Source organism: Homo sapiens, chromosome 21 (genome assembly GCF_000001405.40).
Source record: "Homo sapiens chromosome 21, GRCh38.p14 Primary Assembly".
Taxonomy (NCBI): Eukaryota; Metazoa; Chordata; class Mammalia; order Primates; family Hominidae; genus Homo; species Homo sapiens.
In genome coordinates this window covers 30,703,733-30,725,811 of record NC_000021.9, presented here as the reverse complement: position 1 = coordinate 30,725,811, position 22,079 = coordinate 30,703,733, and the positions used below count along the sequence as shown (strand labels likewise).

Genomic DNA, 22,079 nt, shown 5'->3' with positions numbered 1-22,079 from the left:
GCTAAGCTACAAAGACCAAATGTTTGGTCGAACACCAGTCTAAAGGTTGCTATGATGATATTTTTCAGATAAGGTTGGCATTTAATCAGCAGACTTGAGAAAAGTCACGTACCTTCCATAATGTGGGTGAGCTTCCTCCAGGCAGTTGAGGGCCTTAAGAGAAAAGGGTGATGTCTACCAGAGGAAGAGGGAAATCTGCCTTCAACCTGAGTTCACATTCAAGTTGCAAGATCAGCTCTTCCCTGGGTCTCCAGCCTGCTCAGCAGATTTTGATTTTGCTAGCCCCTACAATCATGTGAGCCAATGCTTTAAAATCTGCCTCTTCTCTCGCTCTGTCTCTCTGTATCCCTCCCTCCCTTTCTCTCTCTCTCTCTTTATTGTCCCCCAATTTCTCTCCCTCTCCTTGCTTCTCTCTCTTCTCTCTCTCCCCGCTTATCTCCCTTCTGGCCTCTCTCCTCTCTACTCCTCCTCCTTTTCTCCCTCCCCACTTTTCTCTCTCTTTTCTCTCCCTCTCTACTCTCCTCTTTCTCTCTCCCCCTCACTCTCCCTCTTTTTTCTCTCTCCTCCCTCTCTTTCCCTTTCTCTCCTCTCTCTCTCATTCCTCTTTGCCTCTCTCTCCCTCACTCTTCCACCTCTTCCTTCTCTCTCTCTCTCTGTGTGTGTGTGTGTGTGTGTGTGTATGTATGTATTTCCTTCATGCATCCTGTAGGTATGTGTATACACATACTTACATGTAGACACACACATCCTACTGTTATTTTTTCTTGGGAGGACCGTAACACACCATTGAACTAGGTGGAAGTGAGATTAACTGCTAAGGCCCTGGGGTTTATGGCTTCCCTTTGGGTAACTTTGTCCCCTGAACAGAATACAGATCAACATTGAGTCCCCTGAATTTCTCTTAAACCTGAGCATGAGATAGTCTCTCTAGGGTCCTCAGCTCGAGTCTGTGATCTCTGTTCCTTATCTCACCCCTATTCAGAGCTGGTAAGATATGCATAAAAGATGGTGGATGATAAACTTAAAATCTAACATTTGGGTTCTAAAACCTTTACAAATATTCAGACTTATGTAGCAGCTAGATGATTGAGCTTTCCACAATAACCTCTGCACTTTAGATTCCAGTTTCAGAACTGCACATTAAACCAATTTTGGCGGAGGGTACAAGGCAAATGTTAGATAAAACATGGAATATTAACCTTCACAGCAAAACCTTTTAGATTCATTTAGATAACTGATTGCTCAAATAGCCTGTTTCCATTATTGTCTAAGCTTTGTGAATCACAGAAAGTACACTGCTAATCACCACTTGTCTGGTTTTAAACAGGTCAGAATGTCCTCAAAAATAAAAGCTCAGTAAGCCATTAACCTTTTGTGTTGGCCACTGCTATTTTATCTAGAGACCTTGTTATGAGGACAAGACGATTGATCTATGGCAGTGGTTCTGAAATGATAGTGTGTATTAAATTAACCAGAGTGCTTGAAAAACATAGAGTTTTTGGGTCCTACTCCTAGACCTTCTGATTTAGTAGGTTTTGGGTAGAACCTCAAAATCTGCAATTTTAACAAATTCCCAAGTGATGCTGATAACTGCTGATCCATACACTCCACTTTTAGAAACTCTAACTCTTAAAAATTGCAGTGGAGCAAATGAATTAATGGAAAATATATTTTTTCACCTGGGTTCAGTAGGTGATCAACAGGGATTTATCGAGCACTTAATATGTGTTTGGTCAGCACCATGATAGTGTTGTGTAGATGAGAATAGTTGCTGAGATCAAAGAACTAACCATCCATTTGGAAGATCAAGACTAACATACCTATTTGTAGAAAAGAACAAAACTTGAGATATAACAGCTTATGTGTCACAGATGAAAAGACTGGCAGGAGTTCATAGGAAAGGAAGATAATGAGGACTCCGGGAACTGCAGAAAGCTTCTGTCGAAGGGGAAATGAACTGGGCTTGGAAGAACTGCATTAATAGATTAGAAAATCAGAAATTCAAGGTGGGAGAGTCACTGGGGACAGAGGCAGAATGGGCATTAAATCGGCTGTTTAGGGGAAATGGTTGGTGTCTTGCACATGAATGTATTTAACAAATAATGTGATGATTACCATGACTTAGAGTGGTAAACAGATTTGGAATGGTTAGGGGAAGAGGTATATTATGAGAGATCTGTGAGCCCAGGCAGAGGATATAGAATTAGCACAGTAGGAGATTCAGAATATTAAGCAGAAGAAATGCATGATAAAAGTAATATGTAGGAAATATAAATTTAGAAACAATGTGCAGAATAGGTTGGACAGTGTGGAAACGAAAGATGCATTGAGTTCCTGGAGCTAAGGACTTATTGGGGTGGGGGGGTCCAAGAGTGAGAAGATTAGGACCAGAATTAAGCCTGTTGCAGTAAGAGTAAGAAAATAGATACCAAAATTTTGTATGGAAAATGATTTGTTTCAGTGACATAAACAAATGCATAAATGTGGTACTTTTGAATGTGGGTATTCATCAAGAAAGGAAATGTTATTAACAGGGAGAAATATTTTTAAAATTTAGTTTTGCCAGAGAGATGTATCTGGTTTTGGATATGTTGATTTGAGGTAATAATACATTCAAAAAAATTATCTAGCTAAGATTTGTATATTTAAGGAGAGTACACGACATATCAATTTGAAAGTAACTGATATTAATTTTTTATTTAAAGCTGTAAATGTGAGAGAAAATATTTACTCACACACATTTATTCCTTAAGTTTTAATGGATCACTTTCTGTAAGTCAGACATTGTAGTGGGAGTACAAATGGGAAATTAATAAGAGAATTTAGAGAGAGAAAGTCAAGGAATTGAATCTAGGAAGGGCTCCTTAGTTAGAGTTTGGGTAGAGTCAGAGGAATAAATGAAGAAAACACATGAAAGGTACAGTTGTAAAAAGAGAATGAGGATGGTGTTGAAAAGGGTTGGAAGTAGAGGAAATGATACCTTGTGGCAGCAGAGGTCAACGATAACCATGGAGAAGAAATGTGACTGGCATTGGCAAAAGAAAACATTAAAAATCTCTTAGGGAAGAGTAGGCAGAAGAAGGGAGTAGATTTGAAGAGACTGATGAAGATAGAGCCATAGAGCAATAAAAGTAGAAACAAGTTAGGATACCACGTTGGTGGAGAGCTAATAATTTGAAGGAAGAAAAAAATACCTCATCTTCTGAGACTGAAGGGAAAACACAACAGAAATATGACTTATTTTCAATACAATCTTTTTTTCAAAATTAAACATATATTTTTACATAAATCTATAATGATTAAATATTTTTTGCATATAATCTACTCTTATAAATTATATATGCATTTAAATGTGAACATTAAATGGATGCTGACTTTGAACTAAAGGTATTTCTATTAATATTATCACCGTATTTAATTTTTACATGAATATTTTGGAGAATGAGATAAATTAAATCTAACAAAGTGAATTATAAAATATCTAGTAGAATAATAAATTGCTTATTTTCTTCTTTCTATTTAAAAAAATTTGCAGGCAAATGAATGTGAACATTCACATTTTCTTTCCCCTGACGTAGAGAAATCTTCATGAGGATGGAGAACATAGGAGTTAAGCCACTTTCAGAGGTGGGAATGGAAATTTTCAGATTTGATGATGTTCCAGGTAGAGAAATAACACCATTGATTCAAGAAAGAAAAATGGGCCTAAAAGGTCAGTAGTATATTTGGTAAGAAGTAGAAAATAGCTGGGGGAAGAATATGAAACTTAATTTTACCATCACATATTTTGGAAATTTATTGGTGATTTTACAGAGAGGGCTATTATGGTCAAAGACATAGTTGTATACTTTACAAATGAAGGCTAGGGGTATACAAATTCCGAATTTTACTTAAAGTGGCACAGGGTCATCACTGCTATTAACATGAGACCTTAGCTGAGAAAATGAAAGGGAAAATATGGGAAAGATGAATAAATTTGCAATAAATTTTGCATTTGACTTAATGTGGTGAATTTTTACTAATGAAAAGCTGAAAATAATTACATAATATGTCATCAATAATCGGGAAATTAAGCAGAAACAAATTTTCAGAATACGAATGAATTCTTATATGGTTAGGAAATACTTTTCAGAGCAACTCAGCATTTTTGGGTCAAGAGAAAAATAGCAACCACAATTCCTTACAGTCACATGAAAGTCAAAAGTCTGAAAAGGAACAGATACTTAAGTGTATGAAATGATAGAAAAAAAAATCCACAATAAAATACATATTGCAGTTCTAATTTCCCTGTACAAAGTAAGATGCTTGCAGGGGTATAGAATGTACAGAGCAAAATATAAAACAAAAAATAAAAATAATAACAAGGTTCTCACTTTTAAAGAGACTGCATATATTAAAATAGGTAACATGAGACATATATGCAAAGAAACACATGATACATCATAATACGGATAATTTGCAGCAAAAGATGGTTCAAATAAAGTATCAATTAAAAACATTTTTTTTAGAAAGATGATCTCACTCTGTCACCCAGGCTAGAGTGCAGTGGTCTGATCATAGGTCACTGCAGCCTCAAATTCCTGGGCTTAAGGGATCCTCCCACCTCAGCCTCCTGAGTAGCTGGGACTATAGGCATGTGCCACCACATTCTGCTAATTTATTTTATTTTATTTTGTAGAGACAGGGTCTCATTATGTTGCCCAGGCTAGTCTGGAACTCATGCCCTTAAGTAATCCTCCTGCCTTAGCCTCCCAAAGTGGTGAAGTTACAGGTGTGAGCCACTGTGCTCAGGTACCAAATTTTAGAAGCTTTTTTCAGATTGTCTAAGATTCAATCCTCACTGAGCATCTTAAATATAGATTTTCAACTCTCATGGGCAAGAAAATACCATATTTAGGTTGAGTTGAGACTAATTTTGTAATTGAGTCCCATCAAAGGTTTATTTTCAAAATATTCAGTTTAATCTAGGCAAAACTGCTTACCCAATGGTTATTTTAAAAGATGACCTTCGAGACCATCCTGGCTAACAAGGTGAAACCCCGTCTCTACTAAAAATACAAAAAATTAGCCGGGCGCGGTGGCAGGCGCCTGTAGTCCCAGCTACTGGGGAGGCTGAGGCAGGAGAATGGCGTGAACCCGGGAAGCGGAGCTTGCAGTGAGCCGAGATTGCGCCACTGCAGTCCGCAGTCCGGCCTGGGCGACAGAGCGAGACTCCGTCTCAAAAAAAAAAAAAAAAAAAAAAAAAAGATGACCTGTTTGACTTAATGTGGCCTATTTGCTTGTGCTGTATAAAAACGCCAACAGTCTCTTTAGTGATTTGGAAACTTGAACACTCATAAGATTTTCATATTTGAACATATACTCTAAGACGATAACTTTCAAAAGAACTTAAAAGTTATTTCTCAACTTAAAAAGTTATTTTGTTACACAAATATGTTAGTTTATTGAAGAATGTCAAGCTGGTTTTCTTTACACAGTTGTCCTCCTAAGGATAATTAAAATGCTATCATGGCGTTCCAGTTTGTACTCCTACTACAATACCTGGCATTTAGGTGCAAGTAAAACTTACAGCGCATATGTAAATTGTGAATACTCTGAAGGTGTTTTTATTTTATAGTGTTTGATAGCACATTTTAAAATCTTGGAAACTCTATTTCTTGGAATACATTTTAATACCTCCCAGTCCTAGTGTTCCTGGAAACATAATTGGAAAATAAAATGCCACAAATTCAATGCAACCATGGCTAGTGCTCAAGGAAAGATCTTTGCTCAAGAGAATAATTTAGCAAATAATGGTTTCGAAGAAATAGGACATTACTAAGTACACTGGATAAATGGTTGTGATTTCTGTATCTCAAAATATTGAGCTGATTATGCCATTAATTTGCTCAAAATCTTCTCTGGTTCTCCATTACCTTTAGAATGAATTCCACACTTTTTACCTTAATATTCAAAGCTCTTTATTATTTGGCCCCAGTTTATTATACTTTTTTAAAATCTATTTTATTCCCTAAAGAAAAAAAGAAATTCCTGCCTTCACAGATATCCTATATTCCAGTGAGAAAAACAGTCAACAAAATTAGTAAAATGCAAGTCTATCATATGGTGATAAATGGCTTGATAAATGCTAAGTAGAGAATAAAGATATATCTGTGGGAGGGTGCTAGCTATAAATAATACTGTTCAGGGAGGGCCTCCTTGAGTGACATTTGAACACACTCTGATGGCAATGAGGGAATGAGTCATAGATATGGGTGTTAAATTGTAAAAACTGCAGGTGAAAGCCCAGCATGGATGAAGGCCCTAAGTGGACCTGGTCTGGATTGTTTTGAGGTCTATTTCATAGGATTTCTCTTTCCTTTTTCTCTAACCGCATCAATCTGAGACTTTTTTTGTGTAAATGTTTCTCTTCCTTACTAAGCTGGGAGTTCATTGAAGGTCTGTTCTTGGTCTTATTTATGTTTTTCATTTTTATTTTTATGTTATTTTCAGCAGTGCCTACTGTCATGTTCTGTTTTTTAGGAAAGTTCTCAATAAATTCTAATATTATAGAATTGAACGCATGTTTCTCAATTTAGCCTTCCTATGCCTATCCTCTCCTGAGTAGTACAGTTGTGGATTGGATGGTAATACTGGTGGCACCTGAAAAGGTAGGAATCACTAAGCCCCTTCCTTTCTCTAGGAGGCTGGGGATGGGGATTCTCAATGTTTTGGGTTAGAGCTGAGGGAAGTACTTCCCTGCAAGATTTAGCATCATGATATTTGTGGAGTGTACATTTGGGGCTCACTGAGAACATGTATACAGAGTGTACAAATTACTTTTTACAGTCTATGATTAACTTGCAGGAATTAAATGAAGGTCTAAAATGAGAGGCTTTCTTAGGACACAGAATAAAACAACAACAAGCTTGTTAAATATAAATTCTTGTGGGAATGAGAAGGCAAAGTAGGGATGGCACACACTTTGCAGACCTCTTATTATATAGAAAGATCCCAAGGGTTCCAAACTCCAGAAATGCTGTTACCTGGCTGAATTCTCATCTCCTGACACTATGTATTTCAATTACAAAAGTGTGTGTGGGAGCTGTGGATTTGGCTCTTGCTATGGTTGTGGGTATGGCTGTATACACAGCACCCACTGTGGCTGTAACGGTTATTATGGTTGTTATGAAAATAAATATTCTGTTATAGATGATCTGATATTTTTTGCTTCTAAGAAATGCCATTGAGCATTGTTTCTTATTTAGTTTCTCAAAGATCTGTTCTGCTTTAATCACCTTCAATCCTGATAGTTCTCCGTTAGAGAAAAATGACTCATCTGGTGAAAACTCCATTTGTCTTCAAAGTACCTGTTAGTCATAGACATAATGTGGTTTCACTGAGAGATGGAAAATATGACTATTTTGAAATTTTGAAAAATATAAAATGCTCTTTGTGTGCGTGTGTGAGTCAACACCAATTTGGGGCATGTTTTACCCCCTTGAAAGCCAGACCACTATGTAGATTAGTTGATCCTTAGCTTCTTAGAAATTTCTTCTTAACTTTCAATAACTCTTTTTCTCTTTATCTTTTCTACTCTACATAAAACTTGAGTTATTTAATTGTCAGTATCCACCACATATTTAATATTAAATAAATATGTACCTGTTAATTAGATATACTTCTAAATATACAAAATGAAGAAAGGAAGTGGAATGATATCATCCTTAGTGTAGAATAGTAGATTATTATCAGCCAAAGAAAAGGGAGGAGGAGAGAGAATCACTGAAACATTTTTTTTTTTTTTCGAGATGGAGTCTCGCTCTGTCACCCAGGCTGGAGTGCAGTGGCGCGATCTTGGCTCACTGCAACCTCCGCCTCCCAGGTTCAAGTGATTCTCCTGCTTCAGCCTCCCAAGTAGCTGGGATTGAGGCACCCGCCACCGCGCCTGGCTAATTTTTGTATTTTTAGTAGAGACGGGGTTTCACCATGTTGGCCAGGCTGGTCTCGAACTCCTGACCTTATAATCCACCCGCCTTGGCTACACACACACACACACACACACACACACGAACACAATGATTCTAATTCTAATTCCGTCGGCCTTTTCTCAAACATTCTCATAGACAGTTCTGTCACTTTTTTTGGGATTCTGGTTAATATGAACTCCTTAGGAGACTTTGCCTAACATTCCACTTGAAATAGAAATGACATTCTTACACTATTTCCCTGTTCATCACCTTGCATCTACTTCTCCTCTTCCTCCTCTTCTCCCTTCTCCTCCTCCTTCTACTTCTCCTCATATCTTTCTCTCTCTCAAAATCAAAGTCAAAAATCAGTTGTTTTTTTCTTCAGTTATATTTGTTACATAATTATAAAATTATTTAAGAAAGCCCGGTGACAGAGTGAGACTCATCTAAAAAAAAAAAAAATTCCTGACTCCATTCCTGTGGTGGCGAAGGAATTGCTCTATGAGACTGCTATGTATGATAAAGTGAGTCTAGGACTATTTATATGGGGATATCAAACAATTCTCCTCTATGGCAAAGTGTAGTCACAACATTTCTCTTTCTTAAAAAGCACAGGCTTTGGGGCAACAGAGAGTGACATTAGATGCCAATGTTCCCATTCCTAGCTGTGCATGTGTCAGAAAACTTCTTAATCTTCATATTTCATAAGTCTCCTCTTCCATTCAAACAAAAAGGTTATAAACACTGATGTCAGAGGACTGTTGCCATAGTTAATGAGATAGTATACTTAGCATGTAGCATGATACGTAATAATAGGATTTTGTTTTTGTTGGCAAATGACTCCTTATGTATGTTGTTTTGCAGCAAACAATGTAATGCTTCATCTATGCTAACTTTTGAGAGGTAGCAGCCTCCAAATTAAGTCATCTGATTTTATTATTCTTTCCTTTTTTTTTTTTTTTTTTGGTCTCATGCTTTTGTTGGAATTCATGGAGTACATAAAAATTACTAGAGCAACCGAACTCTAAGGATTTCCCTGTTTTTATTTAGCTCTTACTTTTTTTTTTTTTTTTTTTCTCTTTCTGAGACAGAGTCTTGCTCTGTCACCCAGGCTGGAGTGCAGTGGTGTGATCTCCGCTCACTGCAACCTCTGCCTCTCGGGTTCAAGCAATTCTCCTGCCTCAGCCTCCTGAGTAGCTGGGATTACAGGCACCTGCCACCATGCCAGGCTAATTTTTGTATTTTTGTTAGAGACAGTTTCCCCATGTTTGGCCAGGGTGGTCTCGAACTCCTGACTTTTAGTGATCTGCCTGCCTCTGCCTCCCAAAGTGCTGGAATTACAGGTGTGAGCCACCACACCTGGCCTGTTTTTACTTAGTTCTAAATATACAGATACTTAGAAGCATGTGTGAGATTTTAAATTTTAGTAGTTAGAAATTACTTGGAGTTATTTTGGTTTTCTTATTTAAAAAATAATATATATCAAAATAATATGTATATTCATTTTACTTAAGAACAAAAAGGATAACATCATCTCACACTACATATGTGCTGTATCATCTTCACTCATAGGCTTCATGTAGTCCTCTAACCTCTACTGAACTCTATTTGAGAACTTCATCATAGAAAAAGTAATAACTTTAGAATCTTGACTGCAAAGCAGAGTGTGACATACTGGAGTATACCGTTACATTGCTTGAGTGATTTTTTAAAATAATTACTGTATTTTTTGAGTATTTTGCAATAGTGTTTTCAAATTAAAGCCCAACAAAATGGTGAAATGCCTCTGAGAAAATGGATTATACAAAAACGAGGCCAGGCATGGTGGTTCACGCCTGTAATCCCAGCACTTTGGGAGGTCAAGGCGGATGGATCACAAGGTCAGGAGTTCAAGACCAGCCTGGCCAACATGATGAAACCCAGTCTCTACTAAAAATACAAAAATTAGCTGGGCATGGTGGTGGTGCCTGTAGTCCCGGCTACTGGGGAGGCTGAGGCAGGATAATCGCTTGAACCCAGGAGGTGGAGCTTGCAGTAAGCCGAGATCACACCATTGCATTCCAGCCTGGGCGACAGAGCATGACTCCGTCTCAAAAAAAAAAAAAAAAAAAAGAAAGAAACATTTCATTACCATTTGAGATTATTTACCAATGCAAGATCAGAAATATGGTCCTTTTAAACTCTAAATCATTACAAATAATCTTCACTCTCAACAACAGCAACGACCAAAAGTAGACAAGGTGATTGCACTCCATTGTCGATAAAATCAACTTAAGGCTATGTTGTCTTACATCATTTTTCCTTGATATTTGTATTCACTAGAAACTACGAATATGTAAAATAAGAATTTGATGTATAGAATTATCATCTATCAATTAGAATATCAAATTTTCCTGTGAAATCAAACAACAATAATACAAACTTCAATTTTAAATAGAAAATGTAATGTTAACAGTTTATAAATGGAAACAAATTTGCTGGTTGCTGTGTTATCCATAGTGTAACTTCAGTTATACAGCAATGAAAATGCTGCAATAAAAAGTATCTGCTTTTCTTGCTGGTGAATCATATACATTGCACTTTTCAAGGAGGAAACAGTATTTTCAAATGGGAATAGAAGTAAATATCAGCTAAGGTAAGAAAATACATAGTTAAAGCCCATCCCACGCCCACCATTGTCTGTTAAAATTCCACACATATTTTTCCAATTGTGTACCAAGAATCTAAGTAACGCAAAGTGATGCAAAACCTAAATGGTTTAGGTCATCATATATTAATATAAATTACACAGTTAATTCATACATTATTACAATCAACTGTGATGACTTGGTTATGAATGTTCTTTTAATAAGATAATAGGAAAAACATTACTGTGGTGGAGGCAAAGTAGAAAGGAAAATGGTAAATAGAATCAGAAATTTGTATTCACCATTATCTTCACTTTCCTCTCCTTCACTGACTTTTTATTTCAAAGAACAGAGTGCCTAACTCTCTTTTTCTAAAATGTCCTTTCTAGTTAGATGGTTTATCAAAGGGAACACCACATAGGAAACACAGGGATATATATTCCAGGCCACAAATTTTCTCCCTGGAAAATTTATGTCTGTGGATCCCTGTTCTCTTCTTTTCCCTTTGTATGAGTCAGCTGTAACTTACTGCACTTTTGGTGTTCTTTCGACTCATGCCCCCTTCTTAGGACAGATGGCATGTTCCCGCACTCTCTAGCATCAGAGAATTATGGCCTCCTCTTCAGCTAGAGGGCAGTAAAAAGTCACTCCAAGGGACAAATGATAGAAGAGTTGACTCAAAACAAAACGAGACCTCAGCTTTTAACTATACTATATGGGAATGAAAATCAAACAACCAAAACCAAACAGACAAATTCAATTAACCTTATATCCTTTTTCAGTCCAGACTGACATAGTTGAAGGTCATCTTCTTCCACAGAGGATCTGTTGCTTGAGGTACAACCACATGGAGATGCTAATTCTATCATTATTACGTTTTCATAAGATTTAAGGCCCTCCAAGTCAGAAATGATCTAACAAGCTGACTTATGAGAACTTGGCAGAAAAGTAATTTAAAAAAGATGTGATAGTAGTCTTCAAATCTCAAAAGGTATTAACGAAAATAAAATGAATTACTTAAGAGAAACTTTGAGATGGCCTTAAATGTCATTCCCTCAAAGCGTTCTTTATATAAGTCAATTTAGATAATGACCACTTGAATGTTCCGCCCAAAGCTGAACAGTTGGTTTGTGGTAGAGAGACGAGGAAAAGTTACAAACAGGAACTGAATGCTTATGGTAAGCACTAGGAAAACAAACAGGTATAAGACATGGAACTGATCATTCAAGACAGCACAGTGCACTGGCAAAATTGGAATCTGTATCTACAACTCAAATGTCATGGGGGCAATGCTAAAACTGCAAGTAATCTTTATGATTCACACATGCCAAGAAGACCACACAGAAGTTTGGAGTCAGAGCCATAAATTGTAATAAACTATTTCCCTGAAAATTCTCATCTGCATTCTCTCTAGAGAACTTTAGAGGGCTGATTGAGGATGCAAGCGCATGGGGTCCTGGACATCTCTAGCTTTCATTGTACCCATTATGTATCTTTAAATAATCGAAGTGATTCCCACCATTAGTAAAATCCATACTTTGTTTTTTTATTTATTTTCAGTTTTTATGGATACATAATAGTTATACATATTTATAGTTGCATGTGATATTTTGATCCATGAATACTATGTGTAATGATCAAATCAGGGTAGTTGGAATATCCATCACTTGAAACATTTATTATTACTTTGTGTTGAGATTATTCCGATTTCACTCTTCTAGCTATTTCGAAATATAAAATAAATAATTGTTAACTATAATTGCCCTATTTTCCTATCAAATGCTAGATCTTATTCCTTCTATCTAACTGTATCTTTGTACTCATTGTCCAACCCTTCTTTATCCTTCCTCTCCAGCGCTGTTCTCAGTCTCTGGTAGCCATCATTGAACTCTTGAGATCAATTATTTTAGCTCCTACTTATGGGTGAGAACATGCTCTTTTTGTATTTTTGTGTCTGGCTTATTTTATGTATCATAATGTCCTCCAATTCCATCCATATTATTACAAATGCTAGGATTTATTTATTTTCTTTTTCTTATCTTTTTTTTTCGGTTTTCTTTCTTTTTTTAAATTGGGTCTTTCTCAGTTACCTAGGCTGGAGTGCATTGGGACTATCACAGCTCATTGCAGCCTCGATCTCCTGGGTTCAAGTGATCCTCCTGTGCCTCAGCCTCCCAAGCGGCTGGAACTACAAGCATGCATCACTGTTTTTTTTTTTTTGGAGAGACAGGGTCTCTCTCTGTGTTGCCTAGGCTGGTCTCAAACTCCTAGGCTTAGGCAATCCATTCATCAATTTTGATGGACACTTAGTTTTATTCAATATTTTAATTATTATAAATAGTGCTGCAATAAACATGGGAGTGCAGATATCTCTTGGCTATATGAACTTCCTTTCTTTTGGATATATACCTAGCAGTGGGATTGCTGTAATTTATGGCAGTTTTATTTTTGTTTTTTTGAGACACCTCCACACTTTTTCCCATAGTAGCTATGCTAATTTACATTCTTCACAGAAATAGAAACATAATCCTAAAATTTATATAGAACCATAAAAGATCCAGAATAGCCAAAGCAATTCTTAGCAACAACAACAACAACAAACAAACAAAAAAACAAAACAAAGCTGAAGGCTTTACATTACTTGACTTCAAATTATACTACAAAGCCATAGTAACTAAAACAGCACGGTAGTGTCATAAAAACAGACACATTGAACAACGGAACAAAGTTGAAAAACCAGAAATAAATTCATGAATGTAATCTAAGAATTTATAGTCAATGTATTTTTGACAAAAATGTCAAGAACATACATTGGGGAAAGGACAGAGTATTCAAAAGTATATACTTTGACTTACTTTCTGGGAAAAAATGTAGCTGTTTTACTGGCTTTCATAGTTTCATTCTTTAGTATCTTGTTGTATACACAAAATATACTTATGTAAAGGCAGTCTAAGACCAAAAACTCAAGGAACTTCTGCGAGAATCCAACAAAAAGAATAAAATATAAACATTAAAATTTTGCCTCACACATTTTATAGGTTTGAATTAGGCTTTACACAACTTCTAATATTGATTTTATATTGCGTAATGCAAAACCAAATTGCCACTTCAGGTAAAGAAAGTGGAGGAATAAACATCTGTAAAAAAACAGTGTAAAAAATAGTGTAAAAATAGTGTAAAAAATAGCTAATAGAAAATTTCATCTGTAAATTTATTATAATTTACATCTCATCAGATGTAATGCTTATACTTCAAAGGTAACATCAAAATCCATAAATTTTTGCTAGTGATGGTCATGAAAGACTTTGTCATTACATTAGCCCATGATGTGGTTTTGAAATCCATTGGCTAAGTTGTGTAGGCCAAGTATGGAGTGCAGAAATCTTTGCTGAAGCTAGGAATTTAGCATAATTCTGCTATCTTCTTTGAGACCTTGCTAACTTTTTAGTGTCCTGGAGTGGTACATAGCTTCTTGCTGCTCCAGGGACAGAACTCATGCTTCTTTCTTTGTAAGGGCGTTAGGTGAAACTTCTCTCTGTTTCTTTTTTACTCTTTTGTATTCCTACTCTGCTCCCTCAACAATATTAAAACCCTTTATTCTCTCTATTTTCAAGACACTTAGATTTTAACAAATAAATATGCTCCATCTAAATTTTCTCCTATGTGACTGTTTTTGATGAGGGAAGGTACAATATAGAAAGAACAAACCAAACACATTTCCTATAACTTTTCTTGCCCAGTGCCCTTCCTCAGACACTGCAGAGTGCCTGGGAGGTTGTGGGGTACTGGCAAATAGCAGTGGTTCTATAAAAAGTAAAGGTGCTAACAGTCAATGATCTCGGATTTTCACTGAGCAAATCCTGTTTAATTAGAAAATCTATACACTTCTTCAGGGAGACTGTGTAACATGTCTCCTCATGTGCTGAGCGACAACATTGACCTCCTCCTTCTCAGTCTGTCTGTTCACCTTTCACGGTATTGCCTGTCAACACCCTGTGGGCCACACGTGAGGCCATGTCACCAGCTGTGCATTCTGTCAAATATTCTTTTAAGAAAGTAAATGGATAAAGAACACATCTGAATGGCAACTTTTTTTTTTTTTACAGATGTTTATTCCTCCACTTTCTTTACCTGAAGAAATCCTTCTCATGAATTAGGATTTAATTATCTTTATTGGTATTTTTCACCTATTTTTAGTTTTCTGGTTTCATAGTATCCCATGAACATGCCTATTATATTACCTAACCTTTTTGTATTCTTTCCTTCTCTTCTTCTTTTCTCGTCCCCTTCTTGCCTCTCCTTTCCCTTCCCCTCCTCTTTCCTCTCCTCCTCTTCCTCTCCTCTCCCCTTCGTTTCCTGATATAGTTTGGCTGTGTCCCCACCCAAATCTCTATTGAATTGTAGCTCTCATAATTCCCAAGTGTCATAGGAGAAACCTGGTGGAGGTAGTTGAATCATGAGGGTGGGTTTTTCCCATGCTGTTCTCATGATAGTGAATAACACTCATGAGATCTGATGGAATTCCCCTAGAGGCAAGCTGTCTCTTGCCTGCTGTCATGGAAGACGTGACTTTGCTCCTCATTGACCTTCTGACACGATTGTGAGACCTCCCCAGCTGTCTGTAACTGTGAGTCAATTAAACCTCTTTCCTTTATAAATTACCCAGTCTTGGGTATGTCTTTATTAGCAGTCTGAGAATGGACTAATACATTTCCCTTCTCTTTTACTTGCATGCACATACTTGTTTCCCTTACAGCATGATAGCACGCCTCATGGACACAATGTGAAGAGTATGGTAATATATGATTTATATTTGTTAAATGAAACACTGAACATGTTAGTAACTGGATAAAATGGGCAAAATAAGCAATTCTGGCTTTACTGTTGAACTATACTATCTTTGGCTGAAATGTTTATTGTAAGTAAAATTTTACCCCTTTCATCTGAGAAAATAGTTGTTCAATATAACAGCACTACTTACATATTTATCCACTCATAGGTAGCTTTTGTTTATCTTTTGGAAAGCCTTGATTCAGAAGATAAGAGAATCAGAATTTGTCTGGCCTAAGGCTTCTTTTCTCGTGTTTGTCATTGCTTCCTACAGCTCAGTAGGTTTGGGAGGCTGTTTCTAGATAAAACTATACAATCTGTATAAAAACACAAACTATTTGGACAAAAAATTTATAAAGGGTCCTCAGAAGAGCAGAATGAGAAAGCAAAGAGAGCCCTAATGAACTCACATGGAAATGGGATTCATTAAAGTTGGAGAGAAAGGCATACATCAATTTCAGAAGCTAGTGAAGATGTTTGGAATCCACAAGGCTAAATTATGAGTAGAAATTTCAAAATTCATGAAAAGATGTGCATCAGTAAAATTTAAAACTAAATTATTTTATATAAATATATGAAATATAGTAAATATAACAAAAGATCTAAAATTTCTAACAAAGAGTTAAGGGTTTGTAAAACTTGGATGATTAGGAGGAAAATTTGAGTCACACAAAACATCTCTTGTAGCATTCATTTTTGCCTTCTAAGCTGTAGTTAAACATCACTTCAGAAAAAGCACGAAATATCATAATTAGTTCCCTTCATGCACAGTTAAGGAGATGGACTCTAGCAGATGAAGGGAGGGTTGCTGTGTGCTTCATTATCATTATTTTTGAGTAATATTAATTAAGCCACCTTCTGTGCTAATGGTGGAACTTAGTGGTCCACAGTAGAAATGAAACAGATGTCGTCCTTGACCTTATAAATCACAGGAATAAAACATATGGCATTGTTTTATATATGCCCAGAATAAGAAGCAACTAAATATAACATGATGCTTACAAATCTATAATTGTTCAGCAGAAAAATGTTTATCACGTTATTTAGCATAAAAGCACTGTGATGATACACTTCCTTGTAAGTATTATTGACTGGTGCTTTGATTTCCATAGGGTAGAAATTGCCAGCTTTCTCTCCAGCAGTTTTGTAGTATTTCAGATTCCCACCAGCAAGGTATAAAAGTGCTGATCTTGGGAAATGTTCTCAAGCACTGGATATTATTGATCCATTTTAGTTTTTTCCAATATAATTGGTCAACAATACAGTGATGGCAAATGCTATGGTATATCAGTATTTTTCAATATTAGGTAGGCATAGAAAATAATGAGTTGTAACTTTTTATATTGATATGAAAATGATGTCTACATAAAGCAAAAGATTGTGAACTGAGAAAATGAAATAGGGATATGTAAACTTTATAAATTTTGAACCCCCTGATTCCAGTGTCTAAAATAACAATCCAAGCATCACAGCTAAAACAGCCAAAACACAGCATAAATGACAAAATATAAGCTTTAGCTATGTTTCTCCCCCAAAACATTAAAGAGAATTAAATTCATAGCCTGCCGCAAGTCCCTAATAAAGTGAAGGTGTCATTATCTAAATCTCCTAGTAATTCCCACAGCTTCTCACTGCTTCTGCTCTCTTGTCACTTTAGTGCTTGTCTAAATGGAGTGACTATTCTTTTCTGTAAGTCCTTCCTTTCCATCTATAGCTTCACTATTCGAGTCAATCTTTCTTCATACTCTGACTCAGCTTCACAGAGGTCCCACTGAGGATGGTCAACAAAAGAGAAACAGATGACAGACAACTTCTTATGTGGAAAGTATTTACAAGTTAATAATTTTTGAAATCGTTGCATAATGCCATTCTTGTTAAGTAAATAAAAATAAAAAACCCAAAGTGTGTTAATTCTGTTTTGGATACATATAGAAAAGGGAAACCCTAAAGTGTCAACATTGGTTAGCAGAAATAGAGAATAATGGGGAAATTAACTTAATAAAAATTAAAATAATATCTGTTTGCAATGCATTACTTTTGTAATTAAAACAAAAATGAAATACAAGAAGGAAGGTATATGGAAATGGAAGAATTAATTTGTTGGCTTGTGTGTTTTAGACCTCAGATACATAGGATTAATTTAGTGGCTCAGTATAAAAATATTTTCCAGCCAGGCACGGTAGCTCACGCCTGTAATCCCAGCACTTTGGGAGGCCGAGGTGAGAGGACAACTTGAGGTCAGCAGTTCGAGACCAGCCTGGCCAACATGGTGAAACCCTGTCTCTACTAAAAATACAAAAATTAGCTGGGTGTGATGGCCCATGCCTGTAGTCCCAGCTACTTGGAAGGCTGAGGCAGAAGGATTGCTTAAATCTGGGAGGCGGAGGTTGCAGTGAGCCGAGATTGCACCGCTACACTCCAGCCTGGGCGACAGAGTGAGACTCTGTCTCCAAACAAACAAACAAAAAATATAATAATAAAAATATTTCCCTTAACATATCTTCTCCTGTTTTATTTTATAATATTATTATACAGATTATCCCTAATCTCTATCCCATTACCTCCTTGTTTCTTCCTTGTATGTATTATAATTGTGGAATAGCTTGAATATTTCAAAAATATACATTGTGTTTTTTGGGATGTGAATGTGATCCTCATTTTAAAACAAACAGTGTATTTACTGTCACTCTGACACAGTCATGTGTCACTTAACAACAGGGATATGTTCTGAGAAATGCACTGTTAGGTGATTTTGTGGTTGTACACAGAATGTGAGTACAGCCTAGGGTGTACTCACAAACCTGGATGATACAGCCTACTACATACCCAGGCTATATGGTATAATTTATCATTCCTAGGCCACAAACCTGTGCAGCACATTACTGTGCTGAATATTGTAGGTGACTGTAATACAATGGTAAGTATTTGTGTATCTAAACATGTCTAAATATAGAAAAGGTATACTAAAAATATGGTATTGTAATCTTATGTGACTACCATCATATAGGTGATCTGTCATTGAATAAAATGTTGCTCTGTGGTACATGACTGTATTCTACTTAAAACTACGGTGGTTTGTTTTGTTTTGTTTTTCAGACGGAGTTTCACTCTTGTTGCCCAGGCTGGAGTGCAGTGGCCTGATCTCGGCTCACAGCAACCTCCACCTCCCGGATTCAAGCCATTCTTCTGCCTCAGCCTCCGGAGTAGCTAGGATTACAGGCATATGCCACCACGCCTGGCTAATTTTGTATTTTTAGTAGAGACGGGGTTTCTCCATGTTGGTCAGGCTGGTCTCGAACTCCGGACCTCAGGTGATCCGCCCGCCTCGGCCTCCCAGAGTGCTGGGATTACAGGCGTGAGCCACTGCGCCTGGCCAGACTATGTTTTTAAAAGCCATCCCATGTGGCTAGATGCAAGCGTGATAGTAAAAATACTTAATATTTTTAATATGCTATGGATATTGATTAGTGAAATCAGACATTGGCATAAATAACTGCTGTAATTATACCTACGCAAATCAGCTTAACATTAGCTCAGGATACATGTACACCTAATGAATTGTTTCTAGCCCTTACATAGCATTTCACCATATTCTGTAGTATTCCATGCATCATAGCTGTGGCTACTTGTATTGTCTTCTAATCTCTTCTTCCATAAACAATACAGCGGTGAACATTGTTGTGAATGTCTTTTTGTGGATCTATGTGATAAATCCTCTGGTTTATGTTCCCTAGCATAAAATTAATGCATCATGGGTTACATGCATTTTCATTTCAGTAAGTACTGTCAAATCATCACCTAGAAGTGTTATCCATATACACAACAACAGTGTATGAGATCTCGATATTCCTCTAAACTTTCCTAATACTTACCTCACTGCCTACTTTTTACATAATTTATGAGTGGAAAAAGATATCATTGTTTTACATACAATCAAATTTGAGTTAATTTGATAATTTCCTAAGAAGTTGCTTAATATTTTGGATGTATCTTGAGGAGGAAGATTGATCTGCAATCTTCCTTTGCGTCAAGACTTTGGTTTTGAAATCAAGGTTATTCTAGGAATACAGCTAATCAGGGAGGTGAAAGTGCTCTATGTCAAAAATTACAAAACACTGCTCAAAGTAATCAGAGATGACACAAGCAAATGGAAAAACATTCCATTCTCATGGATAGGAAGATTCAATGTTGTTTAAATGGCCATACTGTTCAGAGAAATTTACGGATTCAATGCTATTCCTATTAAACTACCAATGATACTCTTCACAAAATTAGAAAAAAACTATTAAAAACTTCATATGGAACCAAGGCAATTCTAAACAAAAAGAACAAAGCCAGAGGCATTATGCCTGACTTCAAACTATGCTACAAGACTACAGTGACCAAAACAGCATGGTACTGGTATAAAAACAGACTCATAGACCAATGAAACAGAATAGAGAGCCCAGAAATGAGCCATACACCTATAACCATCTATCTTCAACAAGTAGACAAAAACAAGTAATGGGGAAAGGACTGCCTATTCAATGAATGGTTCTGGGATAACTGGCCACCCACATGCAGATTGAAACTAGACACCTTCCTTACACCATATACAAAAACCAACTCAAGATAGATTAAATACTTAAATGTAAACCTCAAAGTATAAAAGCCCTGGAAAGTAACCTAAGAAATACCATTCTGGACATCTGATGTGGCAAAGATTTCATGATGAAGATGCCATAGCAACTGCAACAAAAACAAAAATTGACAAATGGGACCTAGTTAAACCGAAGAGCTTCTGCACAGCAAAAGAAACTATCAACAGAATAAACAGACAACCTATAGAATGGGAGTAAATACTTGCAAACTAATCAACGGATAAAGGTCTAACACCCATAATCTATAAGAAACTTAAACTAATCAACAAGCAAAACAAACAAAAAACAAACAAAAAACCCATTAAAAAGTGGACAAAGGACATGCACAGATACTTCTCAAAAGAAGACATACATGTAGCCAACAAGCATATGAAAAATGCTCAACATCACTAATCATTATAGAAATGCAAATCAAAACTACAGTGAGATACCATCTCACAACAGTCAGAATGGCTACTACATAAAAGTCAAAAAGTATCAGATGCTGGCAAGGCTGCAGAGAACAGGGAACACTTAAAAACTACTGGTGGAAATGTAAATTAGTTCAGCCACTGCGGAAGCAATTTGGCGATTTCTCAAAAAACTCAAAGCAGAATTACCATTCAACCCATCAATCTCATTATTGGGTATATACCCAAAGGAATATAAATTATTCTATCATAAAGACACATCTATGTTTATGTTCATTGTAGCACTATTCACAATATCAAAGACATCAGATCAATCTAAATGCCCACCAGTGGTAGACTGGATTAGGAGAATGTGGTACATATACTTCATGGAATGATACATAGCCATAAAAGGAATGAGATCTTTCTTGTCCTTTGTAACAACATAAATGGAGCTGGAGGTCATTATCCTAAGTGAACTAAGACAAGAACAGAAAACCAAATAGTGCATGTTTCCACTTATAAATGGGAAGTAAACATTGAGTATATATAGACACAAAGAAGGGAGCAATAGACAATGGGGTCTAATTGAGGGTGGAGGGAGAGAGGAGAGTGAGGATTTAAAAAAACTACCTATCCGGTACTATGCTTATTACCTGAGTGGTGAAAGAATCTGTACACAAAACCCCTGTGACATGCAATTTACCTATATAACAATCCTGCACTTATACCTCTGAACCTAAAATAGAGGTTGAAAAGTAAAATCAAGGCTATTATGACCATTGCTATCCTCTTTTTCTATAATCTAGTTTAGTTTACATTAGGTTGGCATTATTTCTCCCTTGAGTGATTGAGAATATAGCCCATTGAAGCCCTTTAGGCCTGATATTACCTTATGAGATGTTTTAAATTAAAGATTCACTTTTTGTAATAGATATAGAATTATTTAAGTGTTGTATTTCCTCTTTTATTACTTTCAAGTCATGTCTATTTCTTTATATTTTCAAATGCACTGGTATAAGGTTACCTAGAATGATTTCTTATTACATTTATGTTCTGCAGAATATATTGTCATATATCTATTACTAGCAATAGTGGTAATTTATTTGTTTTTTTCTATTCCTTTGATAGTACAAAGTTTGTTCATTTTATTAGTGTTTCAAAAGAATAAACTTTTAGCTTTAATACCTTTCTACTGTATTTTTATTTTGAAGATAAAATAATAATGTTTTATGAAATAAATAAATGTTGTTCTCTGCCCTCATGAAGGCTTAATTCATTCATAGACTTATGAATTAATGGACTGATGGGTTAATGAATTAATAGGTTATCATGGCATGGAACTGGTGGCTTTATAAGAAAGGAAGAGATCTGACCTAGCCCATTGAGTCACCCTGTCTTGTGATGCCCTTTGCCGCCTTGGAACTCTGAGGAGAGTCCCCACCAGCAAGAATATCTCACCAGAAGTGGACCAGTGACCTTGGACTTCTCAGCCTCCATAAGTGTCAGAAATAAATTTCTTTTCTTTATATATTACCCAGTTTCAAGTATTCTGTTATAAATGACAGAAAATGAACTAAAACATTTACACTTGATTTTAAAAATAAATTTCAATTCTCTGGTAGAATTCTTACTCTTTTCATC

The 22,079-nt window shown here is 36.2% G+C and overlaps 1 protein-coding gene and 1 long non-coding RNA gene across 2 annotated transcripts; both read left to right on the top strand.

Annotated features, from left to right (window-relative positions):
- The first annotated feature begins 65 nt into the window (after positions 1-65).
- Positions 66-21,699, top strand: LOC105372773 (uncharacterized). Its single transcript, XR_937655.3, has 3 exons — positions 66-295; positions 3,536-3,712; positions 18,503-21,699. It is a non-coding gene; the product is annotated as an uncharacterized LOC105372773 (long non-coding RNA).
- KRTAP21-3 (keratin associated protein 21-3) lies at positions 7,035-7,287 on the top strand. The gene has a single exon (NM_001164435.1). It carries the CDS (start codon positions 7,053-7,055, stop codon positions 7,227-7,229), a length of 177 nt encoding a protein of 58 aa, NP_001157907.1. The 5' UTR covers positions 7,035-7,052; the 3' UTR covers positions 7,230-7,287.
- Positions 21,700-22,079: the final 380 nt, after the last annotated feature.

Bases quoted from the DNA above. Each gene is read 5' to 3' on its own strand.
- KRTAP21-3 (NM_001164435.1), top strand. From the start codon at position 7,053: ATGTATTTCAATTACAAAAGTGTGTGTGGGAGCTGTGGATTTGGCTCT.